Here is a 16,293-nt window from a genome sequence, read left to right on the forward strand (position 1 = left end):
AATTAAGTACCTAGGAATTAACCAAAAAAGTGAAAGATATCTATAATTAAAACTATAAAACACTGATGAAATAAAATGAAGAGATGAAAAAATAAAAAGACAGTTCATGCTCATGGATTGGAAGAACCTATGTTAGTATGTCCATACTACACAAAGCAATCTACAGATTCAATGCAATCCTATCAAAATACCAATCACATTCTTTACAGAAATAGAAAAAAAACTATCCTAAAGTTTATATGAAACCACGAAAGACTCAGAATAGCCAAAGCAACTCTAAGCAAAAGAAATTGGATGAATAACATTACCTAACTTCAAATATACTACAGAGCTATAGTAACAAAAAACAGCATGATATTGGCGTTAAAACAGGTACATAGACCAAAGCAACAGAATAGAGAACTCATAAACAAATCCAAACACCTACAGTGAACTCATTTTCGACAAAGGTGTCAAGAACACACAGTGGGGAAAAGACACTCTGTTGAATGAATAGTGCTGGGAAAATTGCATATCCATATTGGAAGAGTGAAACTAGACCCACATTTCTCACCGCATACAAAAATCAAATCAAAATGGATTAGAGACTTAAATCTAAGACCTCATACTCTGAAACTACTGAAAGAAAACATTGGAACAACTCTCCAGGACATTGGTTTGGGCAAAAATTTCTTGACAAATATCCGACAAGCACAGGCAACCAAAGCAAAAACGGACAAATATGATAATATTGAGTTAAAAAGTTTCTGCACAGCAAAGGAAACAATCAACAAGGTGAAGAGACTACTCACAGAATTGGAGAACATATTTGCAAACTACCTATCTAACAAGGGATTAATAACCAGGATATATAAGGAGCTCAAACAACCCTATGGAAAAAAAAATCTAGTAATCCAGTTTAAAAAAACAAGGGCAAAAAATCTAAATAGACATTTCTCAAAAGAAGACGTACAGATGGCAAACAGGCATACAAAAAGGTGCTTAACATCATTAATCATTAGAGAAGTGCAAATCAAAACTACCATGAGATATCATCTCACCCCAGTTAAAATAGCTTATATTCCAAAAGACAGGCAATAACAAATGCTGGTGAGGATGTGGAGAAAACTGTTTGTCGGAAAGTAAATTAGTACAACCACTATGGAGAATAGTTTGGAGGTTCCTGAAGAAACTAAAAGTCAAGCCACCATGTGATCCAGTAATCCCACTGCTGGGTATATACCCAAAAGAAAGGAAATCAGTATATCAAAGAGATATCTGCACTCCCATGTTTGTTGCAGCACTGTTCAAAATAGCCAAAATTTGGAAGCAACCTAAGTGTCCATCAACAAATGAATGGATAAAGCAAATGTCATACTTATACACAAGGGAGTACTATTCAGCCACAAAATAGAATGAGATCCTCTCATTTGCAACAACATGGATAGAACTGGAGGACGGTATGCTTAGTGAATTAAACCAGGCACAGAAAGACAAACATCGCATGTTCTCATTTATATGTGTTGATTTAATAGTCAAAACAATTGAACTCATGGAGCTAGAGAGTAGAAGGATGGTTACCAGAGGCTGGAATGATTAGTGGGGGTTTGGGTGGGGGAGGTGGGGATGGTTAATGGGTCCAAAAAAAAAGAAGAATGAATAAGACCTAATATTTGATAACACAACAGAGTGATTTTAGTCAACAGTAATTTCATTGTACATTTTAGAGTAACTAAAAAAGTGTCATGGGATTGTTTGTAACACAAAGGATAAATGCTTGAGGGGATGGATACCCCATTTTACACGATGTGATTATTACACGTTGTATGCCTGTATCAAAACATCTCATGTCCCCCATAAATATATATACCTAATATGTACCCACAGAAATCAAAATTTAAAATTTAAAAAACAAAACAAAAAAAGATAGAAAGTGAAATGAAAGCTGCCCTCTTAAAATACTTTGTTTTTTATTTATGAAATTGAATAAATGATCTGATGCTTAAGAAAGTGTTGAACTCTAAGAAGTGTCAGGTACTAGAAAAATTAAGAACTTATTCTGTACACTTTTCTTCATTTTCTACCTTAGTAATACACCATGTTAATACATTTCTTTACTGACTTTTAACAGCATACAATTCTAGTCCTACCTTTAAGGAAATATTTGCTATTCAAAAAGGCCTGAGATAGTACCACTCTTTCAAAAGACTGCATATTGTTTTTCCTTTAATGGAAAGTGGCTGCATGGCATAGGTGCATTAGTTCTGAATGAGGCAGGAGCAAGAGTTAGATTCTTTTACTAAATCAGCAGTCACATACTTCATGGAAGCTCTGTTTCCTTAGGGCTAAAGGAATGTCCTTATGTGTACAATGAAGATGCTAGAATATATTATCACCAAGATCACTTTCAACTCAAGTATTCCATAATTCTATGCCAAAAAAATTCTTAGATTGGGAATTACAACCACTCTCTATTCTGGAAGATCGACTTACAAATATGTGGGCACTCTGTGTATGCTTTATTTCACTTTTATTTGCATTTCTTCTTAGCTGTCCGTCCAAAGGAGAAGCAAATCGTCCAAGTTCTGTGTATCTTCCATCACTTTTATTACTTGTTCCATATTCCTGATGGAAGGTTTGAGATGAGTGGAGAAAGAACAGTCAATAAAATGCAATTTGGTGATTTACTTCTGGATTCACTTTTTCATATTATTTGTGTCCCTTATTAGAATGGGTCAATAAGAATAAGGCATATCTATTGAAGCTTGTATTTTACTGATAACATAAGTGACATTTCTTTTGTGCTGCATTTCCACCTGTAATAATAGTCAAAGGAAAATAATTCCAAATTGGGGTAGTTCAGATTTAATGATTATATTCACTTCAGTTACAAATCATTGAACTAAACAGAAGCATACCACTTAGTACACTTATGCATTTATTAAAAAATAATAAATTGGTTAAATTTAACAGCAGATATACTAGCTGTTGTGAGAAGACAATGTGTATTTCTGAGTACAATTACTTAGCCATTAATACAACCTTAATATTGATTCTCTACAATTTTTTAAATCTTATAAGTCATCTTCGTCTATTTTCATAGTTATTGCCCCCATATGTTATAACTTATATTTAGCTACTGTTAAGAATACATTTCACTAATGACTTATTAATTTATAGTTTCTTATCACTCAGTGGCAATGAATACTCTTCATTTTTTATTTATCCCAAACTAAAGCATCTTCATGCTTCTTATGTGGCCCTGTCTCATTGGCTGAGGTTGGCTTTGATCACCCGTGCAGAGGATGACTGTGTGCTGATGTGAGTGCTGCCTGTAACCAACCCCATTCAAGGGAAGTCTCTGGTTTTTACTACCTGCTTTTTTAGAGGATTCATGTCTTAAACAAGAAGAAACGTTTTAAAACAATCCAGAAAAACAAAGCACAAGTCAAACACAGTTAATAATGTTTCTTTACAACTACTATTCCATAATAAGATAATTAGAGAAAATTAGACGATCTGCTTCTGATAGGAACAAACCTCAAATCATCAATAACTCTTTGGAAATTAGAAGACTGAAAAATTCCCGGGCCAAAAATATGCTTGCTTGTATTTTCTAAAAGTCACCATGCAATCTTGTGGGCCTCTGTACTAATAACAGTTATAGTACAGTATCAATAATAAGATAAAGAAATAAAGTAGATATGTAATTTGGAAACTCTAAACTCTCTTTGGAATTCTTAAATTATGCTTTTACAGTAAACCAAATCATGACATGGGAAATAAGTAAAAGAAGTATTTGAAAAGGAAAATGTAACTTCTAAGAATGCTTCCCCACCAATTCCCTATAGTTCAGCCATTTAATTTTGTTAACCTTGGTACCTTAGGTAGCAAAACACAAACGAGTATACATCAGTTATGCTCAAGTCTTTCCTAATAAATCCAATGGACGTTTTTTGTGTCAATTTAACTTGAGTTTTCAGCAGCAATTAACACCATTGACCAAAGTTACTGTCCTGATTCAATTTTTTTTTGTTTTCTTTGCTTCCATGAGCCATCTTTTCCTGGTTTTCCTCTCACTTCTGTGATGCTTCCTTCTCAATATTCTTTGTAGTTTCTTCATTCTGTTACCTATAAAATAAAGTTACTAATTGATCAAGTTTTGATTCTTAGACTCTCTTTATTCCTTGATAAATATTCCCTCTACATGTTATCTCATTGGTTCTTAAGATATATTTCAAATGTGGTTTCCCTTTAAACCCCATTTTTTCAGTGCTCTCTAACTCAGGAAATGCATCTTCATCAGTCCAGTTTAAAAACCGCAAACATAAGAGTCTCCTTAATATCTTCTTACATACTTACTCTACAAATTCAATCCATACTAATACATATCAATGTTACTTACTAAATATTGGTCACCTCTCTTCATATCTCAACAGTTCTAACACTTTAGTCCATCGATTTTTCTTTTGCCTAAACTACTATAATAGTCTCCTTATTGGTCCTCCACCTTAAGTTCTTGCACACCTCCTACTATCTCAAATTCATAGTCTGGAAGGTTTTTGTTTGTTTGTTTGTTTTGTTTTGTTTTTTTCTGAGACGGAGTTTCACTCTTGTCACTCAGGCTGGAGTGCAGTGGCGCGATCTGGGTTCACTGCAACCTCCGCGCCCTCTCCCCTTCTGGTTGAAGCGATTCTCCTGCCTCAGTCTCCCGAGTAGCTGGGGTTACAGGCGCCTGCCTCCACGCCCGACTAATTTTTGTATTCTTAATAGAGACGGGGTTTCGCCATGTTGGCAGGCTAGTCTGGAACGCCTGACCTCAGGTGATCCACCGACCTCGGCTTCCCAAAGTGCTGGGATTACAGGCGTGAGCCACCGCACCCAGCCTGGGAGGTTCTTTTACAAACAAAGTTCTCAGCATGTAATTCTGCTCCAACATTTCAATGGATTACAATTTTGGGGTGAATTAAAATATTTGACATGAGCCATGTAGCCCTGCAGAGACTGTCCCTTCTCCTTCTCTCCAGTTTAATCTCACTTTTCTCCCTCTCCCTGTGCATTCCAGGCACAGTTGTCTGCTTATTTCCCAGACCATGCCATGCAGTCTACTACAGGGAACTTTGCATGTGCTCCTCTATCTAACTGAAGTACTTTTCCAGTTCCCCCTTTATTCTCACTACTTTCACCTAGTTAATTCTAATTGCTCCTCTAAATTCTTTATTCTAGTATCTCTTCCTCAGTGAATCCTTCCCTCATCTTATACAACTCCCTGTATATCTCTTTGTAAAACTGATCACATTCTAATTTGACATCTATGTGTGTGACATGTCTCAAATTAATGCCTGCCTTTCATGACCACGGTCAATAAGGGCAAAGCTACTATCTACAGTTGTGCATTGGCTAACAATGGGAACATGTTCTGAGAAATGCATTGTTAAGCAATTTCATCATTGTGCAAACACCATGTGCAAACATCACTCAGTGTACTTATCCAAACCTAGGCTAGGAGTATAGCCTGCTACACACCTAGGCCTAGTATAGCCTGTTGCTCCTAGACCTCAAACGTGTATAGAACATTAATGTACTGAATAGTGTAGGCAACTATAACACAATAGGAAGTAGTTGTATATCTGAACATATCTAAGCATAGAAAATACAATTAAAATGTAATATAAAATATTTTTAAAAAGTGCATCCATAGGCAGCTCTGTTATAATTTGGGACCACTGTTGTATATGAGGTCTGTCATTGACCAAAATATTCTTATGCATTACAAGGCTGTATTTAGTTCTCTGTTTTATCTCCAGGACCAAGGGTACTGTAAGACACATGGCTGCTCAATAAATATTTTGTTGGGCAAATAGGAGGTGAAAAAATTTTATACATTAAGTTTCCCACCCAGTTTCAAGTGATCCACTTATTAGAGCCCTTTGTTCCAGTTGCCACTAGCACAGGCACAGCCCCTTTTTGAGGAGGCAGTGGGACTTCTGGCTGAAGCAGAAACAGCAAGGCAAAGAAGGGAAGGGCCAGAAAGGAAAGAATCAAATGAATATAAACAAGATGGATTCTGTCACATAACTTGGAACCTGGCTCCCAAAACAAACTAAAAAAGAAATTTCTGAAATGTTTTCAATAAATCATGGCATCATTTATAGAAAGCATTTTTGAGAGACATTGTTTTGAGTATGTTATTGCTATATTTGTTTTAAAACTTCTTATATTTAACAGTACGTTGTTACAAAATGGTTACTAAAAAGAGGCAAAGGTAAGAAAGGGCATGGTTCTTTTGATTTCTTTAATGCCTACAATAGAAACACTTTGATTTGTCTCTTACATTATGAATGTCATTAAGTATCTCCATTAATGAGTCTGTTCAAGTTTGCTCAAGTTAAAACTTTGAGACCTTTTGACATTAGGAATTAACAATATATTGGGGGGGGGGGCATGTTGAAAAACTGAGCACAATCAAGCTTCAGTCATTACTCCAGAAGTGTATTAAGAAAACTTTTATCAGATTGTCTTTACATAAATTATGATGTTCATGGATTTTGCATGATTGATGGGGATGCTAGTCGTTCCCCAGTATTTTTTTTTCCTTTCTTACAGCATAATATAACATTCATCTGAGGACATGGCAATATTGCATTTCCTCCCTTGAAGCTAGGTGTAGCCATATGACTAAGTGTTGCCCAATGGCATGGCATGGCAGTGGAAGCAATATGTGCAAATTTATGAGCATGTCCTTAAAAGATGGGTGGAGTCATGCTCTCTCCCTCACTGGCTTTTTCTTTTGACTGGTTTGAATTCCGACAAGGAAGTGATGGATGAACCTTCTTGTACCATGAAGATGATATATAACAGTGAAACTCTAGACAGAAAGGGCCTCGATGCCTAAATCCAGGGTTTCTTTCTTGTTTAAGCCACTATCACTTTGGGTCTCTGTATTGCAATAGCAAAATCTACATTCTAACTAATTTAAAAGTTATGCGTTATTTAATTTAAGAATTTAAAAATAATAAACAGACTATGTGTTTTGTCAGTGGAAAAGCCAGTTTGGAGGGTCACATCTCCTTATTGCTAGACTTACATGCTCTTCTTATATCATGATTACATTTCATGAGTTTTTGTATCTAAGAGTTCACATAATAGTATTTAGAGAAAATAGAATTTTTACTGGAAATTTTGCATATCTACACTTACAAGATTACATTTAATATTTACATTTAAACTTCTAAAAAATTCTGTCAGTTAATTATTATTGAGATTCATAGCTAATGAGTCCTGGAGCAGGCATTTAAATGCAGATTCCTTGAATCTCAAAACATATTTTCTTCATGTAATAATACCACTTGCAAGTATTTAAAGAGATTCTACAACTATATGAAAACCTAATCAATAATACATATAAAATCATTTTCATTGTTTTATATGTTTGTTTTTATATTTATAGTCACAGATATTGCAATTCAAAGAAATGATTCATTCAAAACAGAAAATTAAGTTGATAAAAGAAAATATCTCTTTTAGATTTATACATTTACATTATTATTTTAAATTAACTGCTTTGAGCTGAGCACGTATAAAGTTTTTAAAAAATCTTTGCATAACCCTAGAAAACATTTGCTTTGCTCTTTTTTTCTATCATTTTCTTTACAAGCTGCAGTAAGATTTTTTTAAAGATATGTAAACTATTTATCAAATTTCACTTTAAACGGCTGTTTTGGCTCTCTTTCATGGCACACATTTAAGAACAGAGCAACAAATGAGATGACCTTTCTTTTACTAGTGAAACTTAAACAAGCACAGCAATTTGTTATAAGAAGAAGAGCAAGGCTGTTTTCAGCTCAACCGTTGACTTTCCTTTTAGATACTTCTTGGCCTACCTCCATTTATGGAAGCTAGAAAGACCAGATTCCAACATTTTTAACTAACCTTGCAGTTAGACATATCACGTGAGAGAGTTTTCAACAACGAGACACAAGGGGACATCTTTGAAACTTTTGCTTTTCTGGTTAAACAGAGAAAAAGAATAGATATGGTTGGCTGTAGCCCCCTCTCCCAGTACCCCTACCTCCCACACACATCACTTTCCTCCCTCTTTCTGGCTAAACATCAGTATAATGTTGGGAACTGCAGTGGTGATCTTGAAGCCATGGGAGCATAATTTATTCTTTACTTAAATACTATTTCAGATTTTATCCTTCTCTCCACGATTAGAATGTAGGATTAAATTTACTGTGTTTAGAATGTAAAGATCTAAGTTAGAATCTTTATTTACCACTTATTAGCTCTGCCAATTTGCGTGTTACTGAATTTTTTGTATCATGCTTATCACCTCTATAAAAGTAGACATTTAGAAAAATCTACCTTGCAGGATGTTATAAAAGTTAGAGATAGCTTATATAGAGCCTGGCACATTAGCAGTGCTCCGCATGTGGTAGTTATTACTATTAGTTAAACTGTTTGAATCCGTTCATTGCATGCTTATTCCTATAACATATCCTTTTACAGCACTCCAGTGATCTGAAATACTTCCCAGCTATTTACATTATGTAATACTGTCCTAAAATGCTTTCAAATACAGCCTCTCGATGCCATTTTGCTCAGTGTTCACACCCCTCATCAAAGAGAGGAGTGAAATCCAACTTCGAAGGGGTGCTTTTATATAAGTATCTATATATCTCAAGGAATTCAGTTTTGTGTAATAAATATTTGGGGGGATCGTTAGTATTTAATTAAACTTATTTTTTAGATAATTGTACATTCATATATAGTTGTAGGTTATATAGAAAGGGACTGTGTATTATGGTAGTTTGTGTTTTTCAAGGACTTGGTTCATTTCATCTAAATCATCAAACTCATGTATGTAGAATTGTTCATATACTCCCTTTTATTCTTTTGATGTCTGCAGGGTTTGTATTGATATCTTTTTTTTCATTTGTGATATTTGTAATCTGCATTTTCTCCCTATTTTTCTTTGTAAGTCTTGCTAGAAGTTTGTCAATTTTATTGATCTTTTAAAAGAATCACAGGCCGAGGCGGGTGGATCATGAGGTCAGGAGATCGAGACCATCCTGGCTAACAAGGTGAAACCCCGTCTCTACTAAAAATACAAAAAATTAGCCGGGCGCGGTGGCGGGCGCCTGTAGTCCCAGCTACTCGGGAGGCTGAGGCAGGAGAATGGCGTGAACCCGGGAAGCGGAGCTTGCAGTGAGCCGAGATTGCGCCACTGCAGTCCGCAGTCCGGCCTGGGCGACAGAGCGAGACTCCGTCTCAAAAAAAAAAAAAAAAAAAAAAAAGAATCACTTGTTACTATAGTTTTTCTTTATTGTTTTCATACTTTCAATTTTGAGTTCAGCTGTTATACTTTTTGTTCTCTTGTTCTGCTTGCTTTGAGATTGTTATGTTCTTTTTCTGAATTCTTGAAGTAGGAACCTAGATAATTGATTTGAGACTTTCTCTCTTTTCCAATGTATTATAAAATTTTCTCAGCCCTCCTTTAGCTATGTTCCAAAAATTTTGATATGTTGTATTTCACTTTCATTCAGTTTAATGTATTTTTAAAATTCTGTTCAGAGTTTCCTTTTGACCCACAGATTACTTAGTAGCATTGTTGTTTGGTTTCTTAATATTTGGACACTTTCCTATGATCTTTCTGTTATGGATTTCTAGTTTGATTCCATGCGGTCAGAAAAGACACTGTATGATTTAAATTATTCTAAATTTGTTAATATTTGTTTTATGCCTCAGGATATGATCTATCTTGGTATAAGTTTCTCAAACCCTTGGAAAGAATGTATTCTGCTGTTACTGGATGGAGTGGTCTATGTATGTGGATTGATGCTGATTGGTTAGATCATTGGGATGATGGTGTGTTTGAATTTTTTTATTTTTTCCTGATTTTCTGTCTACCAATTGTAGAAAGAGAGATATTTAAGTCATCACTGTCATTGTGGAGTTGTCTGTTTCTCCTTTCAGTTCTGTCCATTTTTCCTTCACATTTTTTGAAGTTTTGTTTTTTGGTGCATATGTATTCAGGATTACTATGTCCTCTTGATGGATTGACTCTATCATTATATAAGGTCCCTTTCTGTCTCCTGTAAATTTTTTTGCTCTGATGTCTATTTTATTGATATTAATATAGCCATTTTTGCTTTCCTTTGTAATTTTTGCATGCTATATCTGTTTTATTCTTCTACTTAAACCTGCTAATTTTACTTATTATAAATATTATTAAAGTATAATTTTATTTATTATAAAAACCTGATTTTATTTATTATAAAAAATAAATAAATTTTATAATTATTATTATAAAGAGAACATATAGTTAAATCATATTTTTAAATCCACTCTATTTTTTGTTTTTAATTTTCTCTGTTTTCATTTGTTATTTTTTTTTTCTTGCTTTCCTGTGTGTTACTTATTTTTTTTTTAAAGAAATTCACTTTGATGTATCTCTTGTATTTTAAATGCACCTATTTGCACAACTTTTTAAGTTGTTGATGTAGGTATTATATTATATATACAAAACTTATAGTCTAGCGCTGTCTTCATTTTACCAGTTTGAGTGAAGTATAAAAATCCTACCTCCTTTGACTTCTCTTTACCCATCCCCCATTTATAATATAAATGTCTTAGATATTTTGACTACATACATTTAGAACACATAAGACAGTGTTATACCTTATCTTTAACTGTCAAGTATGAGTTAGAAAACTCAAGAGAAGAAGGAAAGTCTATCATACTTACCTATACTTTTGCTTATTGTGTTCTTGCTCTCTGATGTGCCAAAAGGTCTTCTTTCATTATAACCTTATACTTTAGAGAACTTTTCTTTTTCCATTATTTTAGGCCACATCTGCTGATAACAGATTCCCTTAGTTTTTCTTTATCAGAAATGCTTTGATTTTCTCTTCAGTCCTGAAGGGTATTTTTTGCTGGGCATAAGATTCTGGGTTGATAGTTCTTTTAACACTTGACAAATATTTTGCCACTTCTTTCTGTCCTTCATAGCTGCTTCTAGCAATCTAATTGTTTTTACCATATAGATAAAGTTTTATTTATTTTTCACTTTTTTCAAAATATTTTCTTTGTATTTAGTTTCCAGAAGTTTTATGATTAGTCTTGGCATGGAATTGGAGGGGTTTATCCTGTTTTTGCTTTTCACAGCTTGCTCCGTCTATAGGTTTATGCCTCTTGCCAAATTCAGGAAGTTTCTAGGAATTATTTCCTTGTGTGCTTTTTCATCCCCACCCTGTTTCTCATCTCTTCCTGGGACTCTGATCACAAGAATGTTCAATCTTTTGTTATAGTCTTAAAAGTGCTTGAAACTGCTTATTACTTTCAGTGTATTTTCTTCCTATTGTTCAGATTGAGTAATTTTTATTGTTCTGTCTTCAAGTTCATTGATTGTTTCCTCTGTTCTCTTCATGTCACTGTTAAGCCTACCCAGTGAGGTATAATTTTGATTACTGTATTTTCAGTTCTAAAAATTCTAGTTGGTTCTTCTTTGTATCTTCTATTTATTTGCTGAGAATTTCTGTTTTCCTGATAAAGCTTTCTATTTTTTATTTGTTTCAAGCATGATTATAATTGCTTGCTGAACTACTTTTTTTACCAGAGCTGTTTTCAAACCTTTGACAGATAATTCTAACATCTTTGTCCTCTTGGTGTTGGCATTTTTATTGGTTGTTTCTTTACAATCAATTTGCGATCGTCCAGGTACTTCATATAAAAAGTGATTTTCTACTGAAAGTTGGACATTTTATTTGTATTTAGGGAGAGGAAAAAGGAAAGTAGGACTACTACATCTTTCCAGAAGTAAATTCCATAATTCTGAATATTATTTAAAATATAATTTATATCTTTATTATATTTATATTTTCTAGTTAGGAAGAAATAGTTATAATAATAAAGTTATTTATCAGAAATAAGTGTAAATTTATATAACACTTTCAGATTCAAATAGAGTTGTGATTTATAAATACATATGCAAATGATTTTTAAGTTACATTCATCAATCCCTTATTCCCTCATCTGGAACTAAAAAAATTTTCTTGGGAGTAGTCTAACACTTTCTTCATGAACATAAAGCATTGTTTTTTAACCAGCCTTCTGGTTATTTCATTTCTCAGTCTGTTTTCTGTTTTCTTTTTCCAATATTGTCAATAAATACAGATGCATGTATGCATGTATATGTATATATATATATGTATATATTATGGATATGTGTTTAATTTGTTCAATAACAAAATAATAACACTAATATAATTTCATCATTTTGTTCTATTCTTAATTTCACATCAAGTTCATTAACTAAAGTCTTAGGATAAATGTGATTTTTTGATGAGCAAACTTTATACTATTTTATTTCAATCTTTCTTTTTGAAAGATTTGTACAATTGTATCAACTTCATCAAATGTTCTTTGGGTTGCACAATTTATTATAAGAAGAGAAAAATTCTAATTTATGTCATTTTAAAATTTCAATGCCAATGTTTAGAAAGGATACATATTGTGTCTTTGAAACATAATTTTAAAAGGAGCATAACTACTCCAGTCAGATATTTTTGGTTAGGTTGTCTTCTAAGGAGAAATCTTGGAATTATTTTTCATAGCCATTTCTGTGATTTTTCACATCTTTGTTTTGTGTTATATACCACTTATTTATGTGCAAGCATAATACTAGGAGTATGATTATTAAATTAAAATAGAAGTGGTTAGATTCAACTAACTATGGTGGGCTGGAATATTAAGAGTTATCCATATTCTTTCCTAATTAATTGTCTTTGTCTATGTGGTGACCTTTTTTTCTCATTCTGAATACATTGCTACTTTATTTTTAAAATTTAACTATATTATCTATGGCATTTCTCTCATTAAAGTGCTGTGGTACCCTCCATGAGAAATGGTAGTTTTCATATTCCTAGTGGGAACTCTTGCTGTTTTGAATTCTCATCTGTGTTTTAGAGTCTCAGATCTGGAAGGAATCCCAGAAGCTATTTTATGCCTAACTTATACGTGAGTGTAATAACTCTATGCCACATCAATCTCTACCCACTAGATTTTGTATATTTTTAAAAAGAAATGGCGATGGAGCTCCTCATGTAAAAATGTCAATGGCTAGATAATATGCTATACAGAACTGTCATGGCCATTGACACAAATTTTAAAGAAAATTTACAAACTAATGTTATGATTTTCATATATTTAAAATTTCTTTCATCAGTTTGTATCACTAAAACACTTTTTTTAGCTTTAGTATAAAGTGTCAACATATTACCAATAATTTTTTGCCCCACTGCTCCTTTCAAAGGCTTCCTGAAGAGATTAAAACAGTAATAACAACTAATATAAAATTGTGTCATCTTCATTTATAGGATAGGTTCCACTGAATATAAATACTCAACTACATAAACAATCATAATTATGCTAAAACCTAAATAAGTTTAATTTATTTCACATTATAGATGTTTCCACATTAAGCATTATAGGCCTGAAACAATTACTCATTGAGTACAAAATGAATTGCAAACTTATCAGGTGTTCAAGGCCTTATTTGAAATCCCCACTTCTTTTTTATCTCTCACTCTTCTTTTTCTTATGGAAGTACCTAGAGTCCTTAACCAGGCCATGCATATGATACCTACATGCCTATATGCAATTTGTTTGTTTAGTCTAGAATGCTCCTTGTGTGTATGGTCATCTCAATTTGGAGCATGTCTTCCATAAAGCCTTTGCTGGCCAGTTCTTTCTTCGTGCAATTGAGGCAGTTTCCTTTTGCCCACCCTACACCTAACTCACAGTGACTTTCAACATGGTATCTGGGACTCTTCATTGCCCATATGTGATTACATTACTGAATTTTTGGAAGGCAGAGCTTTTTGTCACATTTTCCCTTCTTTTTTAAAAAAATGTAATCCAGAGCTAAGAGCTTTGCACAATCTGTGGTGTTTACTAGATGCTTATGAATGCTGGGTTTTGTTATGCATTACATAGCTACAAGTTGAGAAAACGATTTTTCATTCCTTCTTTTCACTTCTTAGCACGACTTTCAAGAAATCCAGGGAGACCTAAACCACTTTATTACTTGCACCCTGAATTCTGAAAAATTAAGAAATAAATGAACAAAAATATCTTTTTTTCAGTACAGTTATTTAATTTGTGACTATGTCTTGACAATATTTATAGTTTTATTTTTGGAAATCCTTTCAAAACTCTTAATTAGAAACTTTTGTTCCACAGTTCCCTCTTCATCCCATGACTTTGTTGATTGGCCCACCTCCTTAGCTATAATCACCTGTGTCTTGAGCAATTTCGTCCCAGTCATAGCATGACATAAGACAACTTGAAAAGAATACTGGTTTTTGTAACAGGTTATATCATGGGCAGTAGAACACTTGAATACTGGATGGCTCCTCCCAAGATGCTTAGGTTAGAGAAATAGAGTAGAATATAGTTACTCTGTATCTGCAGGGGTAAAGAAAGGCCAAGATAAATATTTTCCCTCACTTAGACACAGCAATAATATAATTTAAACCATTTCACTTCTGATCCTTAAGTTGAAGAAAAAGACTGATCATTTTATCATTTCATTTATTAAACTGCAAAATATATTTTTACCAAAATTTATTATTGAAACAAATTTCATGGTTATCCTTGACCTATTGTAATTCTCTTTTAAAATTTATATTTTATAGTTATAAAATATAAAGTTATATTTTCTTATCCAAAGTTATAGTTTCTTATCCAAAAGCAGAGACTTTTATTTCTTGAATCCATTTTTCTGTTATCTTAGTAATTGGTTTTTAGGCAAGGCCCTTATGTTTTGATTTATTCTTTCTAAAAAGTTATCAGTATTACTAAAGATTAGCCATTGTTTACTCCAGTTAATAAATTTTTGTTAAATTGCACTAAAATGAGTTTCTATGTAAATAATTAACCTAGTGAAAATTTTCTTTTTCACTTGAAAACAGAATAGCATTGAAGAACTTGATGGTGTCCTTACATCCATATTCAAACATGAGATACCATATTATGAGTTCCAGTCTCTTCAAACTGAAATTTGTTCTCAAAACAAATGTGAGTATTTTCCAGCTGCATCAATTATTCTTTTTATCACATTCCATTCTATGTAACTCTTTAATGAATGTTATAACCAAAAATATAGGTAGCTGCACTGCTGATGAGATGATTTAGACAACTCCTGACTCCTGGTGAAAGGGTACATTAGTACAAACTTCTGAATGTTCGTTTGGTAATTTTTTTTATCTCAGGCCTTAAAAATGCACGTAACTTTTGCAATTAAAAAGCTTACTTCTTGACTTTTACTCTAAGGAAATGTTTGGGCAACTTCATTTAGGATAGAAATTATTCATCATGTCATTGTTTATAATAACCAAAAAGTGGAAATATTTTACAAAGATAAGTAATTGATTATACATATTTTCATACATCTATTAACGTGACCACCAGAAATTAATATTATTATAAATTTATGCTTCCCGGGGTGATGTTTTGGTGTATACTTAAGTGAATAAAAAGCAGGCTATGTAGCAGAGAGAGAGTGTGATCATCTGTTTAAAAAAGTACGTGTACATTTAACAGCATATAAGTTTATATATATAAATTGATGGTCTGGACAGATAAGTTTATATATGTAAATTGATGTTCACAGTAGTTATGTTTGGGTTGTGCAATTTCAAATATTACATCTTGTTTCACCTTATTGAGTCTGTATTTTCTACAACTGTGTATTATATATGTGGTTAAAAATATACAAATATCAAGAAAAGTATATGTAGGAGATATACATGAAAAATTATATTTCCAGATGTCATCGTGAGGTCAGTAGTATATTTTAGAATTTTTTTTTGTTCCTGCATAGTTTGTTGACATACTGTTTATAATTCATTTATATGCCTATGTGTGAAACACTGAAGTAGAGATGTAATGGTGAATATGACAGACATGAAGCTAAAGAATGTAAGAAGTCTAATGTTGACATATTAAAAATTAATGAGCAGAGTTTTATTTTCTGTAGGGTTTCTGTGCTATTTAAAGCAGTTTTGTCATCAGCCTGGAAGGCTTCAAGACAGTAATAAGAAAAGAGTAGGAATCCTAAGGCACAACTGCTTGTGATTCACCTAGATTTGTGAGAAGCTGCATAATGGTGAGGTTCCGTTAGGAAGAAAAGCCAATGGTATGCTAACTGTGAATAAGTAGTCTTGTGAAATTAGCGACATTTTATTTTTGTTTCCAATATACATTTTTAACAATATGTAATTCACTTACAAAATTAAATACTAGATGAGA

The 16,293-nt window shown here is 33.0% G+C and overlaps 1 protein-coding gene across 3 annotated transcripts in view; it reads left to right on the forward strand.

Moving 5' to 3' along the window:
• Positions 1 to 16,293, forward strand: part of BANK1 (B cell scaffold protein with ankyrin repeats 1) — a 284,083-nt gene that overhangs the window by 89,621 nt on the left and 178,169 nt on the right. For all 3 annotated transcript variants that reach the window (NM_017935.5, NM_001127507.3, NM_001083907.3), the window contains one exon: positions 14,955 to 15,060. In NM_017935.5, coding sequence (NP_060405.5) covers positions 14,955 to 15,060 — 106 coding nt within the window. The remainder of the gene's footprint in view (positions 1 to 14,954; positions 15,061 to 16,293) is intronic.

The sequence above is a fragment of the Homo sapiens genome, chromosome 4 (genome assembly GCF_000001405.40).
Source record: "Homo sapiens chromosome 4, GRCh38.p14 Primary Assembly".
NCBI lineage: Eukaryota > Metazoa > Chordata > Mammalia > Primates > Hominidae > Homo > Homo sapiens.